General features: G+C 40.4%; 1 protein-coding gene across 2 annotated transcripts in view, besides 4 other annotated features; it reads left to right on the forward strand.

Annotated features, from left to right (window-relative positions):
- Positions 16,405 to 16,454: an enhancer, noted in NCBI's record as "active region_1119". NCBI's record gives its function as "activates an Ori minimal core promoter by ATAC-STARR-seq in GM12878 lymphoblastoid cells {active_cell/tissue: GM12878}" and the evidence as "EXISTENCE:reporter gene assay evidence [ECO:0000049][PMID:35858748]".
- Positions 16,555 to 16,614: an enhancer, noted in NCBI's record as "active region_1120". NCBI's record gives its function as "activates an Ori minimal core promoter by ATAC-STARR-seq in GM12878 lymphoblastoid cells {active_cell/tissue: GM12878}" and the evidence as "EXISTENCE:reporter gene assay evidence [ECO:0000049][PMID:35858748]".
- The window catches only part of ATG4C (autophagy related 4C cysteine peptidase), an 81,385-nt gene continuing 79,836 nt past the window's right edge, over positions 16,704 to 18,252 (forward strand). Inside the window, exon 1 of one of the 2 annotated variants that reach the window (NM_032852.4) lies at positions 16,704 to 16,845. The gene's annotated coding sequence lies outside the window, so the exon portion shown is untranslated. The remainder of the gene's footprint in view (positions 16,846 to 18,252) is intronic. The other variant, NM_178221.3, reaches the window with a different exon arrangement.
- Positions 16,735 to 16,914: an enhancer, noted in NCBI's record as "active region_1121". NCBI's record gives its function as "activates an Ori minimal core promoter by ATAC-STARR-seq in GM12878 lymphoblastoid cells {active_cell/tissue: GM12878}" and the evidence as "EXISTENCE:reporter gene assay evidence [ECO:0000049][PMID:35858748]".
- Positions 16,890 to 17,184: a silencer, noted in NCBI's record as "tiled region #3967; HepG2 Repressive non-DNase unmatched - State 1:Tss, and K562 Repressive DNase matched - State 1:Tss". NCBI's record gives its function as "represses a minimal TATA promoter and a strong SV40 promoter by Sharpr-MPRA in HepG2 and K562 cells {active_cell/tissue: HepG2 | K562}" and the evidence as "EXISTENCE:reporter gene assay evidence [ECO:0000049][PMID:27701403]".

The raw sequence follows: 18,252 nt of genomic DNA on the forward strand, positions 1-18,252 counted from the left end.
TTCTACAATGTGATTTAAATTGTTTGCATTGTATTCTATTGGTGTGTTATAATTCATTTAGTCATTCCCCTGTATTAATGATTTAAGTAGTTTCCAAATTTGTGATTTAATAAATACTGCTATACTGTGTATCTTTGTTTATGTATGTTTTACTATAATTGTTTATTTCCCTAGAATAAATTTCTACAAGTGCTGTACTTAGGGAACGTCATCTGATTTTTAGACTCTTATACATATTGTCATCTGACTCTTAAGAAACTTTGATCAATTTACATTGCATCCATTGATGTAAGAGTATCTGTTTCCCTATTCTTTCTCCAACACTGGAGTATTAACATCAGTCTTAAATTTTGCCACTTCCATGGGTATGAAGTAGTATCTAATTTTAATGATCATTTCTTTAAGTACTGTTTAGGTCTTAAGCATCTCTTTGTTTGTTTGTTTGTTTGTTTGTTTTTGAGATGGAGTCTCGCTCTGTCACCCAGGCTGGAGTGCAGTGGTGCGATCTCAGCTCACTGCCAGCTCTGCCTCCCGGGTTCACGCCATTCTTCTGCCTCAGCCTCCCGAGTAGCTGGGACTACAGGCGCCTGCCACTATGCCCGGTTAATTTTTTGTATTTTAGTAAAGACGGGGTTTCACTGTGTTAGCCGGGATGGTCTCGATCTCCTGGCCTCGTGATCCACCCGCCTTGGCCTCCCAAAGTGCTGGGATTACAGGCGTGAGCTACTGCGCCTGGCCAGCATCTCTTTATCCTTCCAATACTGTAGAAAGAGCTGGCTGACTCCAAGGATATATGTAAGGTGGAAACATTAGTGAATTTACCAGGCTCAAACAAAGCCTGACCTTTAACTTTGTAGGTATGAAAACATGCTTTTTTTTTTTTTCAAGAAATAGAAAGACACACAGCACCAGGCTTATAGAAACCACAATATCTATTAAAATGGCAATTTATTAATATTAATAGGAAACTAACTTCTGAAGAAATACAGATGCTTTTAGTGAAGGAAGACACCTCTTTCAAAATGTTTAAATGTGATGAAGAGGAGAGACCCTTGGTGGCAACTAAAGGTAGATGGAGGGCTGAGGGAGAGCTTTCTGGAAGCATTCATCATTAAATCAATAAACGTGCTCAATATTAATTATCAGTAACTGCTATAAATTCATAAAGACCGGAAACTTATTTTTATAGATTTATTATGGAGATAAACATTTTTTGTTTGTTTGTTTTTGAGAAGGAGTCTCGCACTGTCTTCCAGGCTGGAGTGCAGTAATTGCCTGGAGTGCAGGCATAATCTTGGCTCACTGCAACCTCTGCCTTCCGGGTTCATGCGATTCCCCTGCCTCAGCTTCCGGAGTAGCTGGAATTACAGGCGTGCGCCACCAAGCCTGGCCAATTTTTTTTTTTTTTTTAGTAGAGACAAGGTTTCACCATGTTGGCCAGGCTGGTCTCAAACTCCTGACCTCAAGTGATCCACCCGCCTCGGCCTCCCAAAGTGCTGGTATTACAGGCATGAGCCACCGGGCCCGGCCCAAGATAACCCTTTTTAATAATATTGTTTTCATTAAAATTAAAAAATTAGTTTTATTCAACCAATCTTTATTCTTTGCAAAAGATTGAAACTTTACTTAGCTATGATAATCTTCATAAAGATGATAACAGTCTTGTGTGTAGACTTATGTGGAATTTCTTGTTAGCATTATTGATCCTATTTAAAATGAAATCATCTAAAATGCTAACATTGTTGAACAACTATTGTTTTAAACAGAGAATCATAATAAGAAGCATTAATTAAATGATTATAAGTAAGCTAATGACTGCAGTTCTCCTTTCTCAGTATTGAAACAAATAGATTGCCTAGACCATCATCTACTTTTCTGCAATAGCATTTTCTTATTTTACAGACTTATGGCTGTTCTGTTGGGTTATAAACCCAAATACCTATAGATTAATATTAATTTACTTCAGAATAATAATAGATATTATGTATTGCCTATGTAGCTGTGTGTGCTTGAAGCTTTTATATACATTGTATCATTTTATCCTTTTAGTACCTCTTCTTCTAGGTGACACAGTCAGATCCAAAATGTCCAGCATAAGATGGACTTTATTTTTTGGTGCAGTTTTTAAAAAATGTACATAACATGATTCCACATAACATGAAATTCATTATTTCTTTTCATTTTAATTTTTTATTTTTAATTGTTGTGGGTACATAGTAGCTGTATATATTTATGGGGTATATGGGATATTTTGATACAGGTATACAATGTGTAATAATCACACCAGGGGAAATGGGGTATCCATCACCTTAAGCATTTATTCCTTAGTTACAAATAATCTAATTATACTGTTTTAGTTATTTTTAAATGTACAATTAGGCTGGCCATGGTGGCTCATGCCTGTAATCCCAGCACTTTGGGAGGCCAAGGTGGGCAGATCACTTGAGGTCAGGAGTTTAAGACCAGCCTGGCCAATATGGTGAAAACCCATCTCTGCTAAAAATACAAAAAATAGCCAGGCATTGTGTAATCCCAGCTACTCGGGAGGCTGAGGTGAGAGAATTGCTTGAAACCGGGAGGCAGAGGGTGCAGTGAGCTGAGATTGTGCCACTGCACTCCAGCCTGGGTGACAAAGTAAGACTCCATCTCAAAAAAAAAAATTAAATTATTATTGACTATATAGTCACCATGTTGTACTATCAAATACTACATATTATTCATTCTTTCTAACTATTTTTTTGTACCCGTTAATGATCCCCAGTTTCTCCTCAACCTCCTACTACCCTTCCTAGCTTCTGGTAACCATCATTCTACTCTCTATCTCCATGAGTTCAATTGTTTTAATTTTTAGCTCCCACAAATAGGTAAGAACAAGCAAAGTTTGTCTTTCTGTCCCTGGCTTATTTCACTTAACATAATGACCTCAGGTTCCATCCATGTTATTGCAAATAACAGAACCTCATTCCTGTTTTTAATGGCTGAATAGTATTCCATTGTATATATGTACCACATTTTCTTTATCCATTCATCTGTTGATGAACACTTAGGTTGCTTCCAAATCTTGGCTGTAGTGAATAGTCCTGCAATAAGCATGGCAGTGCAGATATCTCTTTGATATACAGATTTCCATTTTTGGAGGGTATATACCTAAGAGTGGGATTACTGGATTGTATGGTAGCTCTACTTTTAGTTTTTTTTGAGGAATCTCCAAGCTGTTCTCCATAGGGGTTGTATTAATTTACATTCCCATCAACAGTGTTCAAGGGTTCCCTTTTCTCCACATCCTCACCAGCATTTGTTATTGCCTATCTTTTGGATAAAAGCTATTTTAACTGGGGTAAGATGATATCTCATTGTAGGTTTGATCTGCATTTATCTGATGATCATTGAATTTGAGCACCTTTTCATCTGCCTGTTTGGCATTTGTATGTCTCCTTTTGAGAAATATCTATTCAGATATTTTTCCCGTTTTTCAATCTGATTGTTATATTTTTTCCTACAGGGTTGTTTGAGCTTCTTATATATTCTAGTTATTTTTAAATGTACGATTAAATTATTCATTTTTTGTGTATCCATTGTATGCTTTTAAATTTGAGGTTACCAAGAGGCTTGCAAACAGTATCTTATAACCCATTATTTTAAACTGATGACAACTTAACACTGATTGCATAAACCAACAAACTGACAGGCAAGCAAAAAGAAAACTAATACAAACTCTGTACTTCATCTTTCTGCTTTTTATAACTTTTTATTGTTTCTATTTGTATTTATTGTACTGTCTGTGTCTTGAAAAGTTGTTGTAGGTATTATTATTATTATTTTGAGACAGAGTCTTGCTCAGTAGCCCAGGCTGGAGTGCAGTGGTGTGATCTCGGCTCACTGCAAGCTCCGGCTCACTGCAAGCTCCGCTTCCCGGGTTCACACCATTCTCCTGCCTCAGCCTCCCAAGTAGCTGGGACTACAGGCGCCCACCACCACGCCCAGCTAATTTTTTTATTTTTTATTTTTAGTAGAGATGGGGTTTCACCATGTTAGCCAGGATGGTCTCGATCTGACCTCGTGATCCACCCACCTCAGCCTCCCAAAGTGCTGGGATTACAGGCGTGAGCCACCACTCCCAGCCTATTATTACTATTTTTAGATGGAGTTTCACTCTGTTGCCCAGGCTGGAGTGCGATGGCCCGGTCTCGGCTCACTGCAACCTTCGCCTCCCGGGTTCAAGCGATTCTCCTGTCTCAGCCTCCCAAGTAGCTAGGATTACAGGCGCCCACCACCACGCCCAGCTAATTTTTGTATTTTTAGTAGAGACAGGGTTTCACCATGTTGGCCAGGGTGGTCTTGAATTCCTGACCTCAGGTGATCCGCCCGCCTCTGCCTCCCAAAGTGCTGGGATTACAGGCGTGAGCCACTGCGCCTGGCCTGTAGCTATTATTTATGATTGGCTAATCTTTTCATCTTTCTGCTTAAGATATGAGTAGTTTACATACCACAATTATTATACAGTATTATAATATAATATTAAATTATTATATACAGTATTATATTATATATAGTATTTTATTGTATTATATTATTATATTATACAGTATTATAATATTCAGAGTCTGTGTACTTGATATTACCAGTCAGTTTTGTACATTCAGATGATTTCTTATTGCTCACTAATATTATTTTCTTTCAGAGTGAAGTTTCTTTCAGAGTGAAGAACTCCACTCTGAAAGTTTCTTATAGGACAGGTCTGATGATGGGACTATAGGACTCCATTTAGCGTTTCTTACAGGACAGGCCTGATGTTGATGAAATCTCTCAGCTTTTGTTCGTCTGGGAAAGTCTTCATTTTTCCCTCATGTTTGAAGTACATTTTCATCAGATATACTATTCAGGGGAATTCTATACTATTCTTTCAGCACTTTAAATATGTCATGCCATTGTCTCCTGGCCTGTAAGGTTTCCACTGAAAAGTGTACTGCCAGAAGTATTGGAGCTCCATTGTATGTTATTCGTTTTTTTCTCTTGCTGCTTTTAGAATTCTTTCTTTATCATTTGCCTTTGGGAGTTTGATTATTAAACCCGTTAGGTAGTCATCTTTGGGTTAAATCTCTTTGGTGTTCTATAACCTTCTTGTACTTGAATATTGAGAGCTTTTTCTGGGTTTAGGAAGTTCTCTGTTATTGTCCCTTTGAATAAACTTTTTACCCTGATCTGCCTACCTCCTCTTTAGGGCCAATAAGTCTTAGATTTGTCCTTTTGAGGCTATTTTCTAGATCTTGTAGGCTGTGCTTCATTCTTTTTTATTCTTTTTCTTTTGTCCCCTCTGTATTTTCACAACTAATGAGCTGTCTTCAAGCTCACTAATGCTTTCTTCTACTTGATCAATTCTGCTACTGAGACTCTGATACATTCTTCAGTATGTCAGTTATATTTTTCAACTCCAGAATTTCTTTTTGATTCTTTTTAATCATTTCAATTTCTTTGTTAAATGTATGTGATAGGATTATGAATTCCTTCTCTGTGTTATGTTGAATTTCTTTGAGTTTCCTCAAACCAGCTATTTTGAATTCTCTGTCTGAAAGGTCACACATCTCTGTCTCTCTGGAATTGGCCCTGGGTGCCTTATTTAGTTCATTTGGTGAGGTTATGTTTTCCTGGATGGTCTTGATTCCTGTGGATGTTTGTCATTATTTGGGCATTGAAGAGTTAGGTATTTATTATAGTCTTTGCAGTTTGGGCTTGTCTGTACCAGTCCTTTTTGGGATGGCTTTCCAGGTATTTAAAAGGACTTGTGTGTTGTAATCTAAGTTTTTGGTCACTGCAGTCATATCTGCATTAGGTGGTACCCCAAGCCCGGTAATGCTGTGGTTCTTGCAGACTCATAGATGTACCACCTTGGTGGTCTTGGATAAGATCTGGAAGAATTCTATGGATTACCAGGCAGGGACTCTTCTTCTCTTTCCTTACTTTCTCCCAAACAAATGGGGTCTTTCTCTTTGTGCTGAGATGCCTGGAGCTGGGAGAGAGGTGACACAGCACGCCTGTGGCCACCACAGCTAAGACTATGGTGGGTCAGACCTGAAACCAGCACAGCATTGGGTCTTGCCTAAAACATGCTATAACAACTATCTGGATGCTGCCTATGTTTGGTCACAACCCTAGGTTCTACAATAAGCAGGTGATGAAGCCAGCCAGTCTGGTGTCATTCCCTTCAGGGCAGCAGTTCCACCATACACAGGTCCAGAAATGCTGTCTGGGAGCTAGGGCCCAGAACTGGAAACCTTAAAAATCTACCTGGTATTGTTCTACTGCAGCTAAACTGACACTAAAACCACAAGACAAAGTCCTTCCCATTTTTTCCCTCCCTTTTCTTCAGGCAGAGGTGTCTCTACCCATGTCCACCATCACCACAGGCCCATGGGGAGTAATCCAGGGTACTCCCAACGTTCCCTTAAGATTCAAGGGCTCTTCAGTCAGCTTGTAGTGAGTGCTGCCAGGCCTAGGACTCACCCTTCAGGACAACGGGCCACTTTCTGGCCCAGGGTAGGTCCAGAAATGCTGTCCACGAGCCAAGGCCTGGAATCAGGGACCCCAAATGCCCACTTGGTGCTCTTCCCCACTGTGGCCAAACTGGTACCTAAGGTGCAAGCAAAGCCCACTCTATTCTTCCCTCTCCTTTTCTCAAGCAGAAGGAGTCTCTCCTCATAGCCACCAGAAATTCACCATTTCAGCCAGTTCAAGCTATACAGCTAATTGGCATTTAATGAGTTCTCAGTGTTGCACAATCATCACCATTATCTACTTCCATATTGTTCTCATCACTCCAAAAAGAAACTCCATGTCCACTATGCAGTCATTCTTCATTTGCCCCTCCGCCAGGCCCTGGAAAGCACGAATCTGCTTTCTATCTTTATGGATTTGCTGATTCTGTATATTTCATATACATCAGATCATACAATATGTTGCCTTTTGTAGCTGTCTTCCTTCCCTTAGCTTTTTTCTCTTAGCTGTCTTCTTTCCCTTTAAAGGTTCACTCATGTTATATCTGTACTTTACCCCTTTTTATAGCCAAATAATATTCTTTGTATAGGTAAATGACATTTTGTTTATCCATTCATCTGTGGATGGACATTTGGGTTATTTCCACTTTTTGGATATTGTGAATAATGCTGCAATGAACATTGGCATACAAGTATCTGTTTGAGTCCCTGTTTTCAATCCTTTTGGAAATATGTTTAGGAGTGGAATTGTTAGGCTATATGGTAACTCTATTGAGGTAACTCTTTTTGAGAAATGTCCAAACTGTTTTCCACAATGACTGCACCATTAAACAGTCTTATCAAAAATGTATGAGGGTTCTAATTTCATCTTATTCTCGCCAACACTTCTTATTTTTCACTTTTTTATTATAGCCATCCTAATACGTTCTAACTGTGTTTTCTTTGATTCTGTGTTTTTCTGTTTGGCATCTGTACAGGGTCAATGTTATTTTAACTATATTTTCCTATGTTCTGTATTCATGATGTTCTGGTATTCAAGAGCCTTACTGACTCTGGGAGAGATTAGCCTTCTCAGGCTAACTAATTCCTAAAGATAACAACAACTTGCCTAGGAGCATGCCTTTCACACAAACCAACCAATCCAGCATCTATTCACCGTATCACCCATCTCCTTATCTAATTGTCACACACAAGCCAATGCTTCCCCATCCTGAATGTCCCAGAGCCAGGTACCAGGCAACTGGAGATAACGCCCATAGCCCATAGCCTCCTGGAATTATTCAAACTAGCCAATCCTAAACTATTTACTCTGCCCTGCTTTGTCTTTACCATGGAAACTCCAAAAAGACTCTGACCTAGATTTTCCCCTTGCTCTTGTCTTCTGCCACTGGTCCAAACCTGGTACTTCTCACGTTGCCCTGTGGGACATGAGATGACCACCCTCCCCTCTGGGACTTGTGAGTATGACACACTTCCTTTCAAGCCTTGTCCTCCTCTCCTGTGGTTGCACCAACTTTACTACACCATATTCAACATCTATATTCTTAGAACAGAAGTGATATCTCATTGTGGTTTTGATTTTTATTTCCCTGTTGATTAGTGATGTTGAGCATCTTTTCATGTGCTTATTGGCCACCTGTATGTCTCATCTGGAGAAATGTCTATTCAAGTCCTTTGCCTGTTTTTTAATTGGGTTGTTATATTTTTGTTGTTGAGCTGTAAGAGTTCTTTATTCTGAATATTATATCCTTATCAGATACATAATTTGCAAATATTTTTTCCCATTCTGTGGGTTGTCTTTTCACTGTCCTTTGATGAGTGAACATTTTCAGTTTGAGGAAGTCCAATTTATCTATTTTTTCTTCTTTCCTTTTTTTTTTTTTTTTTTTTTGAGACAGAGTCTTGCACTGTCACCCAGGCTGGAGTGCAGTGTTGATCACAGCTCATTGCAGACTCAAACTCCTGGGCTCAAGCCATCTTCCTGCCTCAGCCTCCCAAGTAGCTGGGACTACAGGCATATACCAGCATGCCCAGCTAATTTAAAAAAATTTTTTTGTAGAGAGAGGGTCTTGCTATGTTGCCCAGGTTGATCTCAAACTCCTGGGCTCAAGCAGTCTTCCCACCTTGGCCTCCCAGACTGTGAGGATTACAGATATGAGCCACCATGCCTGGCCTATGTATTTTTTCTTTCTTGGTTATTTTGGTATCATATCTAAGAAGCCATTACCAAATTGAGGCCATGAAGATTTACTTGTATGTTTTCTTCTAAAAGTTCTATCATTTTAACTCATATTTATGTATTTGATCTATTTTAATTCAATTTTTGTATATTGTATGAGGTAGGAGTCCAACTTCATTTGTCCCATCACCATTTGTTGGAGAGAACATTCTTCTGTCATCGCATGGTTTTGGCATGCACTGCTTTTTTTTCCTTCCAATTTTTTGTTTGTTTTTTATTATTTTAGAGACAAGCTCTTGCTTTGTCACCCAGGCTTCAGTGCAGTGGTATGATCATAGCTCACTGCAGCCTCGAACTCCTGGACTCAAGTGATCCTCCTGCCTCAGCCTCCCAAGTAGCTGGGAATATAGGCATGTACTACTATGCCCAGCTAATTTTAAAATTTTTTATAGAGATGAGGTCTCATTCTGTTGCCCAGGCTGGTCTTGAAGTCCTGGCCTCAAGTGATCCTCCCACTTTGGCCTCCCAAAGTGCTGGAATTGTAGGTGTGATCTACTGCACCAGGCTGATTTGTGTGTGTGTATGTGTAGTAAAATACACATAACATCAAGTTTACTGTTGTAATCATTTTTTTTGTTGTTTGAGACGGAGTTTCGCTCTGTCGCCCAGGCCAGAGTGCAGTGGCATGATTTTGGCTCACTGCAACCTCTGCCTCCTGGGTTCAAGTGATTATCCTGCCTCAGCCTCCCAAGTAGCTGGGACTACAGGTGCCTGCCACCACGCCTGGCTAATTTTTGTATTTTTAGTAGAAATGAGGTTTCACCATATTGGCCAGGCTGGTTTCGAACTCCTGACCTTGTGATCCACCCACCTCGGCCTCCCAATTTTGTAATCATTTTTAAGTGTATAGTTCAGTAGCATTTAAGTACATTCATATGCAGCCATCACCACCATCCATTTCTAGAACTCTTTTCATCATACAAATTGGAAACTCTGTACCCATTAAACACTGACTCCTCATTCTTCACTCCCTCCAGCCCCTGACAACCACCATTCTACTTTCTGTCTCTGTAAATTTTACTATGCTAGGTACCTCATACAGGTGGAATCAGGCAGTATTTGTCTTTTCATAGCTGGCTTATTTCACTTAACAAAATGCTCAAAGTTTATCCATGCTGTACCATTCATCAGGCTAGGGTGAACCTCAGATTTATATAGGATTTCTGTTTTGAAGCCTTGACTGGTGAATAATACTTCATATTATGTCCTCTTGGTCATCTCTTTCTTTTTGTGTTGTCACCTGTGCCTTTACCACGGTCCAGTCTCCTGATATTTTTTTCCGTTTGAATCTCTCCATTCCTTATTTGATGTTCTAATTTGCTCCATCCTCATTTTCCTCAGAATTCTGGCTTTGCCTCCTGGTCTTAATGAATGCTGACTTTCCCCTGAAGATTTTGTTCCCCTGCAACCTTGAATTTATGCTTTTTGTGTTTTTTGGTCTCATTCATTCAGAATACTGGGTCAGTGGTTGAGTTCAGCTCTCTTTTCATTCTCCAATGCTACACCTGAACCAGTACTCCTCTGCTCTTATGTTAAAATCCCATTCCTTTGAAGGATTCCATGACATTTGCATATGTCATTCTCCACTCTATCTGTGCTATCACCTATTGACTTCCTGGTTACTAGTTCATATCCCCATCCACATGGCTTATAATCTTACCTATGCTCATGGTTTCAGTTGTCCTGTAAAGTGGATGACTTGAGAAGCTATATATTCAGCTCAAATCTTCCCCTTGAGCTCTGTATCTAACTGTCTGTTGGGCGTAGCTATATGGACAACTCTTAAGCATTCCTAACTCAACATGTGGAAAATTGAAAAGCCAGAAATGTGGGAGTCTCCCTTGATTCCTTCTCTCACTCACACTTTCTCTTGACTCTATTATCTTAATATTTCTGGCCAATATTTCACTCTTCTCTTATCTCTACTGTTGGGGCTTGGAAGATAACACCCCAAACGATGACACTTTGGCATGCTGAGTGCTTTGAAGAACACTGGAAAGGCTCAGATGCAAAATCTCTTTCTGACCTTCTCCTGCTCTTCTTTCTCCGGTTTGCCTTTCTCCCCAAGGGAGGCCATAGAACCTAGAATTCCTCTTCCCCAAGGCAGGTCATAGGAACTAGAACGCCTTTCCCCCAAAGTCTGCCATAAAATCTAGAAATACTACTCTAACCTTCCCCCACCTTTCAGTGTAAGAGCTGGCCTGAAAGGAATTCTCTGACCTACCTCGACTGAAAGTAAATCATAAGACCCACATTCCAGAAGGAGTCCTGACCTGTACCCAGGAGGGAAGAATGTCACACAAAGAGGGCAGGAAGAATCTGAACAGTCAGGCTCTACTGGGTTTCCCCACTCAATTACTATTAGATAATTTCCTTTTTGTCTAATTGCATTTCTCCATGGCTGTCCACTCTTCATCAAATCTAAGCATAAAAAGGGGCAGTTTTCCCTGGGTTTTTGGGTCTTCATTTCAGAAGGGTCCCGTGTCACATAAAACTTTGATTAAATAAATTTGTAATGCTTTTCTTTTGTTAACCTGTCTTTTGTTACAGGAGTGTTGGCCATGACTCTTATGGCAGGGAGGAAAGATATAATACCTTTCCGCCCCTAGAGTACTTTATTTCAGATCTCTCATTGTAAAAAACTGAATTATGAAAACAATCTCCTAATTGGTCTTGCCAGCCCAATCCATTCTTCATACAGCAAATAGTAGACTAAAATGCAATCTAGTTATGTCACTCCTAAATGGTTCTCTTTATATTTAGGTTAAAGTATACAGTCTTAGTATCATAGTATACAGTCTTTTTTTTTTTTTTTTTTTTTTTTTTTTTTGAGACGGAGTCTCCCTCTGTCACCCAGGCTGGAGTGCAGTGGTGCAATCTTGGCTTACTGCAGCCTCCTCCTCCCAGGTTCAAGCAATTCTCCTGCCTCAGCCTCCTGAGTAGCTGGGATTACCAAGCGCCCACCAGCACACCTGGCTAATTTTTGTATTTTTAGCAGAGATGGGGTTTCACCATGTTGGCCAGGCTGGTCTCGAACTCCTGACCTCAGGTGATCCACCCACCTTGGCCTCCCAAAGTGCTGGGATTACGGGCGTGAGCCACCACGCCTGGTCTACAAAGTCTTTTTGTGAAATAGCTCCAGTTTGTCTTTCCAGCCTTATATCATACTATTCACCCCACTCTCTTGTTCCAGCTATAATGAATTTACAGGTTGTCTTAAACTGGCTGAACCTCCCTCTTCTACAGCTAGTTAATTCTTATTTTTGTCATTTAAATCATCTTGGGAACTTCCTCCTCTAGGGTCCTCACTCAATTTGAGAGTAACTGACCTTCTTCATTCTCTTAAAGTCTTGTCCTTACTTTTAGCATAACATTTATCACATTGTATTGAGGGACCATAAGCTCCTTACTGAATTCTGTCTATATTTCCAGCATAGGTGTGGGTGTTCAGTAAATACTAGCTGCTGTGAAGAGATCCCATGCTGCATGTCAAGGCTAAGGTTTACTTTGTAGCACTTGATGAAGTGTGGTTATGAAAGGAAAAAGAGAAGATAGAATAGACCAGACCGAGTGCAGTGGCTCACGCCTGTAATCCCAGCACTTTGGGAGGCTGAGGTGGGAGGATCTCTTGAGCCCAGCAGTTTGAGACCAGCCTGGCCAATGTGGGGAAACCCCATCTCTACAAAAAAATTCAAAAAGTTAGCCGGATTTGGTGGCATGTACCTGTAGTCCCAGCTACTCAGGAGGCTGAGGTGGGAGAATCACCTGAGCCTGGAAAGTCGAGGCTGCAGTGAGCTGTGATCGTACCACTGCACTCTAGCCTGGGCATTGGGAGTGACTGCATTTAGCAGGAAAGCTGAGTCCACTGAAGGTGCTTTCACAATTATGGTGATTCTGTGCACATTTGTTTGTTGAAGTAAAGGGAGCATAGTTGAGAGAGAGAGAAAGAGGTTGAAGATATAAGAGAGGGGATAGAAATAAGATTACTTGGAAAAGAGGAAAGGTTTTCACCAAGTTTTCTTTTTTCTAATTTTTTTTGTTTGAGATGGAGTCTCACTCTGTCACCCAGGCTGGAGTGCAGTGGCGCGATCTCGGCTCACTGCAAGCTCCGCCTCCCGGGTTCTTTAAAATAATTTTTTAGCCTTTAGAAGTCTACAAGGTATTCATTCCATCCAGGCTGAGTTCAATGTCGCTTAACATAACATTCCCAATGAATCATTCATGGTATACATTTATTTAATAGAATCTTCATCTTTTCCTGGTCCAGGAAGGAGATGGATAAGAAATACACTTGATAGAAGTTAAGAAGTAAAAGTGTCCTAACAAAAATCTGGAGCTGCCTCACAATCAATGCTATTAGAATGGTTGGTATACTTTCAAAGTATATGCCTGGAATACGATGACATTTTAGAAAGGGCTTGACTCTTAAGATAAATGTTACCTATATATTATAAATGTGTTTTTTATATATAAGTACACACACACACACACGTATACACAAGTACGCACACACATATACTAAGCAGTGTGTGTGTGTGTGTGTGTATGTAAATTGTTGCTTTCATGATTATTGAATGTGACATTCTGATTATTCTGGTTTTAATAGTTATTTTATTATACAACCTGAATTACTAATTAAAAAAATAAAGCACAAGAGTTAGAAACAGCTTACATTAAAACTACGCAGTATTCATGAAAAGGCAGTTTCGGGGCCTCGGTCATCACTGTGAATTTTTTTTTTTTTTGAGACAGAGTCATGCTCTGTCGCCCAGGCTGGAGTGCAGTGGTGTAATCTTGGATCACTGCAACCTCTGCCTCCCGGGTTCAAGCAATTCCCCTGCCTCAGTCTCCCGAGTAGCTGGGACTACAGGCGCACGCCACCACGCCTGGCTAATTTTTCTTGTATTTTTAGTAGAGACGGAGTTTCACCATGTTGTCCAGGCTGGTCTTGAACTCCTGATCTCAAGTGATCCACCCGCCTTGGACTCCCAAAGTACTGAGGTTACAGGCATGAGCTACTGCACCCAGCCTAGTCATCACTGTGAACTTCCACAAACACTCATTGAGAGCCAGTTACTCTGCACAAAGTACTGTGCATAGAGCTGGGAGGGGCACAGATGTTTAAGATGCGGATCCTGCCTTTAAGAAGGTATATTAGCTATTATAAGTTTCAATTAACCAAATGTGTGATGATTATTAAAAGTCAGTGTTACACATATTTACTTTGTTTTCTATTCTGATAAAGCTCATGTATGCTTTTAATTTCCCTTTAAATCTTAACTAATTTCCAAAACTATCAGTGTTTCATAAACAGCTTATAGTGCCCAGACAGAGAGCCTTGCCCTTAGTAGCACTCATCCTATTTTTGTTGAACTAAAACGAACAGCTTCTTCAGTTTTAACTCTTGCATGGTTGGCAATTGGCTGAATTGGAATGTGAAGACACATTTAGAGGAGAGAATGTTCTGTCTGAGTGCTGCAGCTGTAAGAATCTCTTCAAAAAACATAAAGTCTATTACATAAATTATGTACTCTTTAAACTCCCATGTTCATTTACACAATTGATCATGGAAACGACTTTAGAAATATGTGTATCAAATATTTAGCATATTTTTAAAGCTTCCTTAATAACATCACTAATAAGTGGATGCAATTTTGTGTTTATTTACGGCAAACACCTATGAATATCAGATAACCTAATTATAGTTTATCAACATTACCTTTGAATCATTCCAATGGAAATGTCCTCTCTCACTGCATTCATATTGTTTTGGTGCATGAGCATGGAAAACAGCAGATTATTTTCCATGATCATAGATTTTAAATATTTACTTGCTAGCGCTGCATAATTTAACGCACTAGAGTTGGAAAGCAGTTTGTATGACAGCTGATGCCATGTCAGTGTTGCAGAATATAGTTTCCTCCTGTGATTTCTGTGTGAAGTTGTAAAAAGGAAAGGTACTCTACTCCTTTTTTTCTAACCAATTAAAATTTGTTGTGGCAAATCTACAGAAAACCCAAGTCTGTAGTATACACACAATTTACTTTTGTATATATAGTTATTTTAAGAATCCAAGCATTGTTTCTCATGGCCTGTTAATGCACAATACCAAAAATAAAATACATGCATTCTTGTAATCCAGGTCTTTATGAAAGTTACAAAAAGGCATCTAAACAGCTTGTTAGATGCATGCTCTCTCTCCTAAAAAAAATCAAAACAGAGTTTGGGGATTTCGAAACAGGAAACCACAAGCTATGGAATCATGCAAGAAAACTACTTTGCTCACTCTAATAAGTGTGCCATTTGTGATCTTATCATATCCTTTGTTTGTTGTTTTGTTATTTAGCTGTCCAAGTACATGAATAAAAAATAAATAGATCCAGCTACCTGTTTCTGTGAGAATAAAAAAAAATTTAAACCACCAAATCCACTAAAAAATTGAAAAAATTTCAAGTTTAATTTTGAACTTTTCAACTCTTCATTCTTGAAGGTTTTCATTCCCATGTGGTTTCATAGTCCGGTGGCATAGACTTCATATTTTATTTTTAGTTTTTAGTATAATTTCCTATGTAATTCAGAAGCATGTCTGGTAGTCCTTGCTCCAACAAAATCTGCGGTACTGTAAAACGGCATAGGATTACATTTTACAGTAACAGTATTTCTCTTGACATCATTTAGGAGTGAAGATAAAAATTTCCACTTATTTATTTATTTATTTATTTATTTTTACTTTTTTGAGACAGGGTCTTGCTCTGTCGCCCAGGCTGGAGTGCAGAGGCACAATCTTGGCTCACTGAAAACTCCGCCTCCCGAGTTCAAGCGATTCTCCCGCCTCAGCCTCCTGAGTAGTTGGGACTACAGGCGCGCGCCACCGCACCCGGCTAATTTTTTATATTTTTAGTAGAGACGGGATTTCACCATGTTGGCCAGGCTGGTCTGGAACTCCTGGGCTCAAGTGATCCGCCCGCCTCGGCCTCCCAAAATGCTGGGATTACAGGCGTCAGCCGCCGCGCCTGGCCAAAAATTTCCACGTTATAAAAAGCATCTTCGGACCGTCCTTTTTTCTTTCTTTCTTTTTCTTTTCCTTCTTTTTTTTTTTTTTTTCCCCACAAAGCCTCGCTCTGTCGCCCAGGCTGGAGTGCAGTGGCGCGATCTCTGCTCACTGCAACCTTTGCCTCCCGGGTTCAAGCAATTCTCCTGCCTCAGGCTCCCGAGTAGCTGGAATTACAGGCGCCCGCCGCCACGCCCGGCTAATTTTTTAATTTTTTAACAGAGACGGGCTTTCACCATGTTGGCCAGGTTGGTCTCGAACTCCCAACCTCAAGCGATCCACCCGCCTCGGCCTCCCAAAGTGCTGGGATTACAGACGCGAACCACCGCGCCCGACTGTCCTGTGTTTTAATGCTTGAAAATAATCTGAATATGGAAAATGAGTGCACATATCCCTTGATGTTTTATAAATAACCTACAGTCCTAATAATGGCTTGGCTTAGAGTTCCTTCACAACAGGAAAAGAAGGCATCCTGGCTTTTTTTTTTTTTTTTTTTTTAAATCAAAGTGAGGCTTGGGTTGGCTCTATCTTGGTCCTGAGTGCGAGGAAGGAGGGCCGCAATGCATGCTGGATCTTGCAGTTCCTACGCCAGAGGCAAGGGCGTGATGCTGCATGGCCTGCTGGTAGTTGAAGTCCAAGTGCTCGAGAGGAATTTATGGCAGCCGTAATGTGGTTTGTCTATCAGAGAGACAATGCTCACAGACGGATACTTTCTCTTGGTTCTGCGCTTGCTGCATTGGTGGATTAGCGGCTTGGGGTGGCGAACAGGTGGGAAAAAGGGATGGATAAAGTAAGCATAGCAGAGGCCTTTACGCCGCTGCTATCGCTACTGCCAATCGCAAGGCTTTCGTATCCCGGAAGTGGCTGATCTGTTGGATTTGACGCGGAGGCGGTTCCTCTTACTACGGTGGCCGGGGTGCTCAAAGTACCTGTAGCTGCGGCGCTGAGGTCGGAACGTCTGCGTGTGTGCGGGCTGGTTTTGTGGCGGCTGCTGCTAGAGCTGGAGCATTTGCCGGGTTGGTGGCTCCTGCACATTTTTACAGTTCTCCAGTCCTTCTCTTTCGGTGAGGGATCGGCTTGAGGCTAAAGGAGTCAAGAAGTTTGGGACTTAGCGTCTCTGGTCCCCGAATGACTGGGTTTCTTGCGGGGGTCCGCCTTCAGTGAAGACCCTGTGGCCAACCATCTGGGTTCTCTGAGGGTTTTGGCGCCTTCCTTGTCTCTCCTTTCTAGTGTCATTTGTCTTCTAACTCTTCCTCGCTTTGTCCTGGGTTGCAGAGATAAACCGTAAGCCTAACTGTGGGCAGCTGTTCCTCCTTTCCTTGTGGTTTTCTTAGATGTTGCAGGCAAGACTCTTTCCCCTGATCTATCGCATCCATTTGACCCCTCCTCATGCCAGTGCTCTGTCGGCCCTGTTTTTCCTCGTTTAAAAAATAAAAAAAGGGAAATAATAATAATAACTGGATCCCCACTGTCTCTCTGTTCTCATTCCTAGCCTCTTTCTCCCTTTTTGGTGTTTGTTACTGCTTCAAGCCATAACACACTGCCTTGCATATATTAATGCCTTTCCATCTAAATATTAACGTTCATTCACTTCATTTGGTTCCCGCTCACCGTGAACTCTCCCAACCCTACCCACATCTAAGGGCTTTTGAGGTTGGAGGTGTAGAATAAATTCTTACATATGATGACTATATTCATATATGAGAACCTTCAGCGGTCAACTCAGCATCACTGCTTATTGAGTTTATATTTCTTGTGATTTCTTTGGCTTACCTTTTCGTTTTGTATTGGTTATTTACCCACATGGGGCTCACTGCTACCCTATAGTTACAGAAGAATACCTCGTCTTACATCTTTTTATATCCGAATTACTTAGGAGTTTTCTTATGTTTTCCTGCTCGGACCATATGTCCCCGGTGGGTTTTTGGCAATGATTTTGTGTCAGTTGATGGCAGAAAGAGACAAGGGAATGATCTTCTTGCTTGCTTGTGACTTGTAATTAGATTATGAGCCATTGAGAATACCCAGAGGGAGTGGAAAGGCTTTGAAAGGTAAAGTCTATGTATTTTCTGAGTTTCAAATTGATAAAGCTTCTTCTTTGAACAGGAAGAGTTTCTATTTAGTCCAATAATCTGAGGCTATATTGAATTACCAGTTCATTCGCTATAAAATTTTTAGAACCACATGTCAAAAAGTGGCCCATCTAAAGAATTGTATAATTTAGCAAAAAGTCATTAAAAGCCATTTAATTAATGCTCTTTTTCTTTAAAATAGGATTCAAGTATTTGGAAAAATGTATTTATGGTGATTGGTTATGAAGTATTTCTAGATGTTTTGATGGTTCTGGTGAACAGCATCGTATTCTGTTCACTAATGTTTTATAAAAAGGCAGAAATTTTCTGGCTTTCTGGGGAACCACGTAACTCAAATGAGTTTGCAGCTCGTTTTCTATTCCAATTATTGCACTAAAG

This window comes from Homo sapiens, chromosome 1 (genome assembly GCF_000001405.40).
Source record: "Homo sapiens chromosome 1, GRCh38.p14 Primary Assembly".
Taxonomy (NCBI): domain Eukaryota; kingdom Metazoa; phylum Chordata; class Mammalia; order Primates; family Hominidae; genus Homo; species Homo sapiens.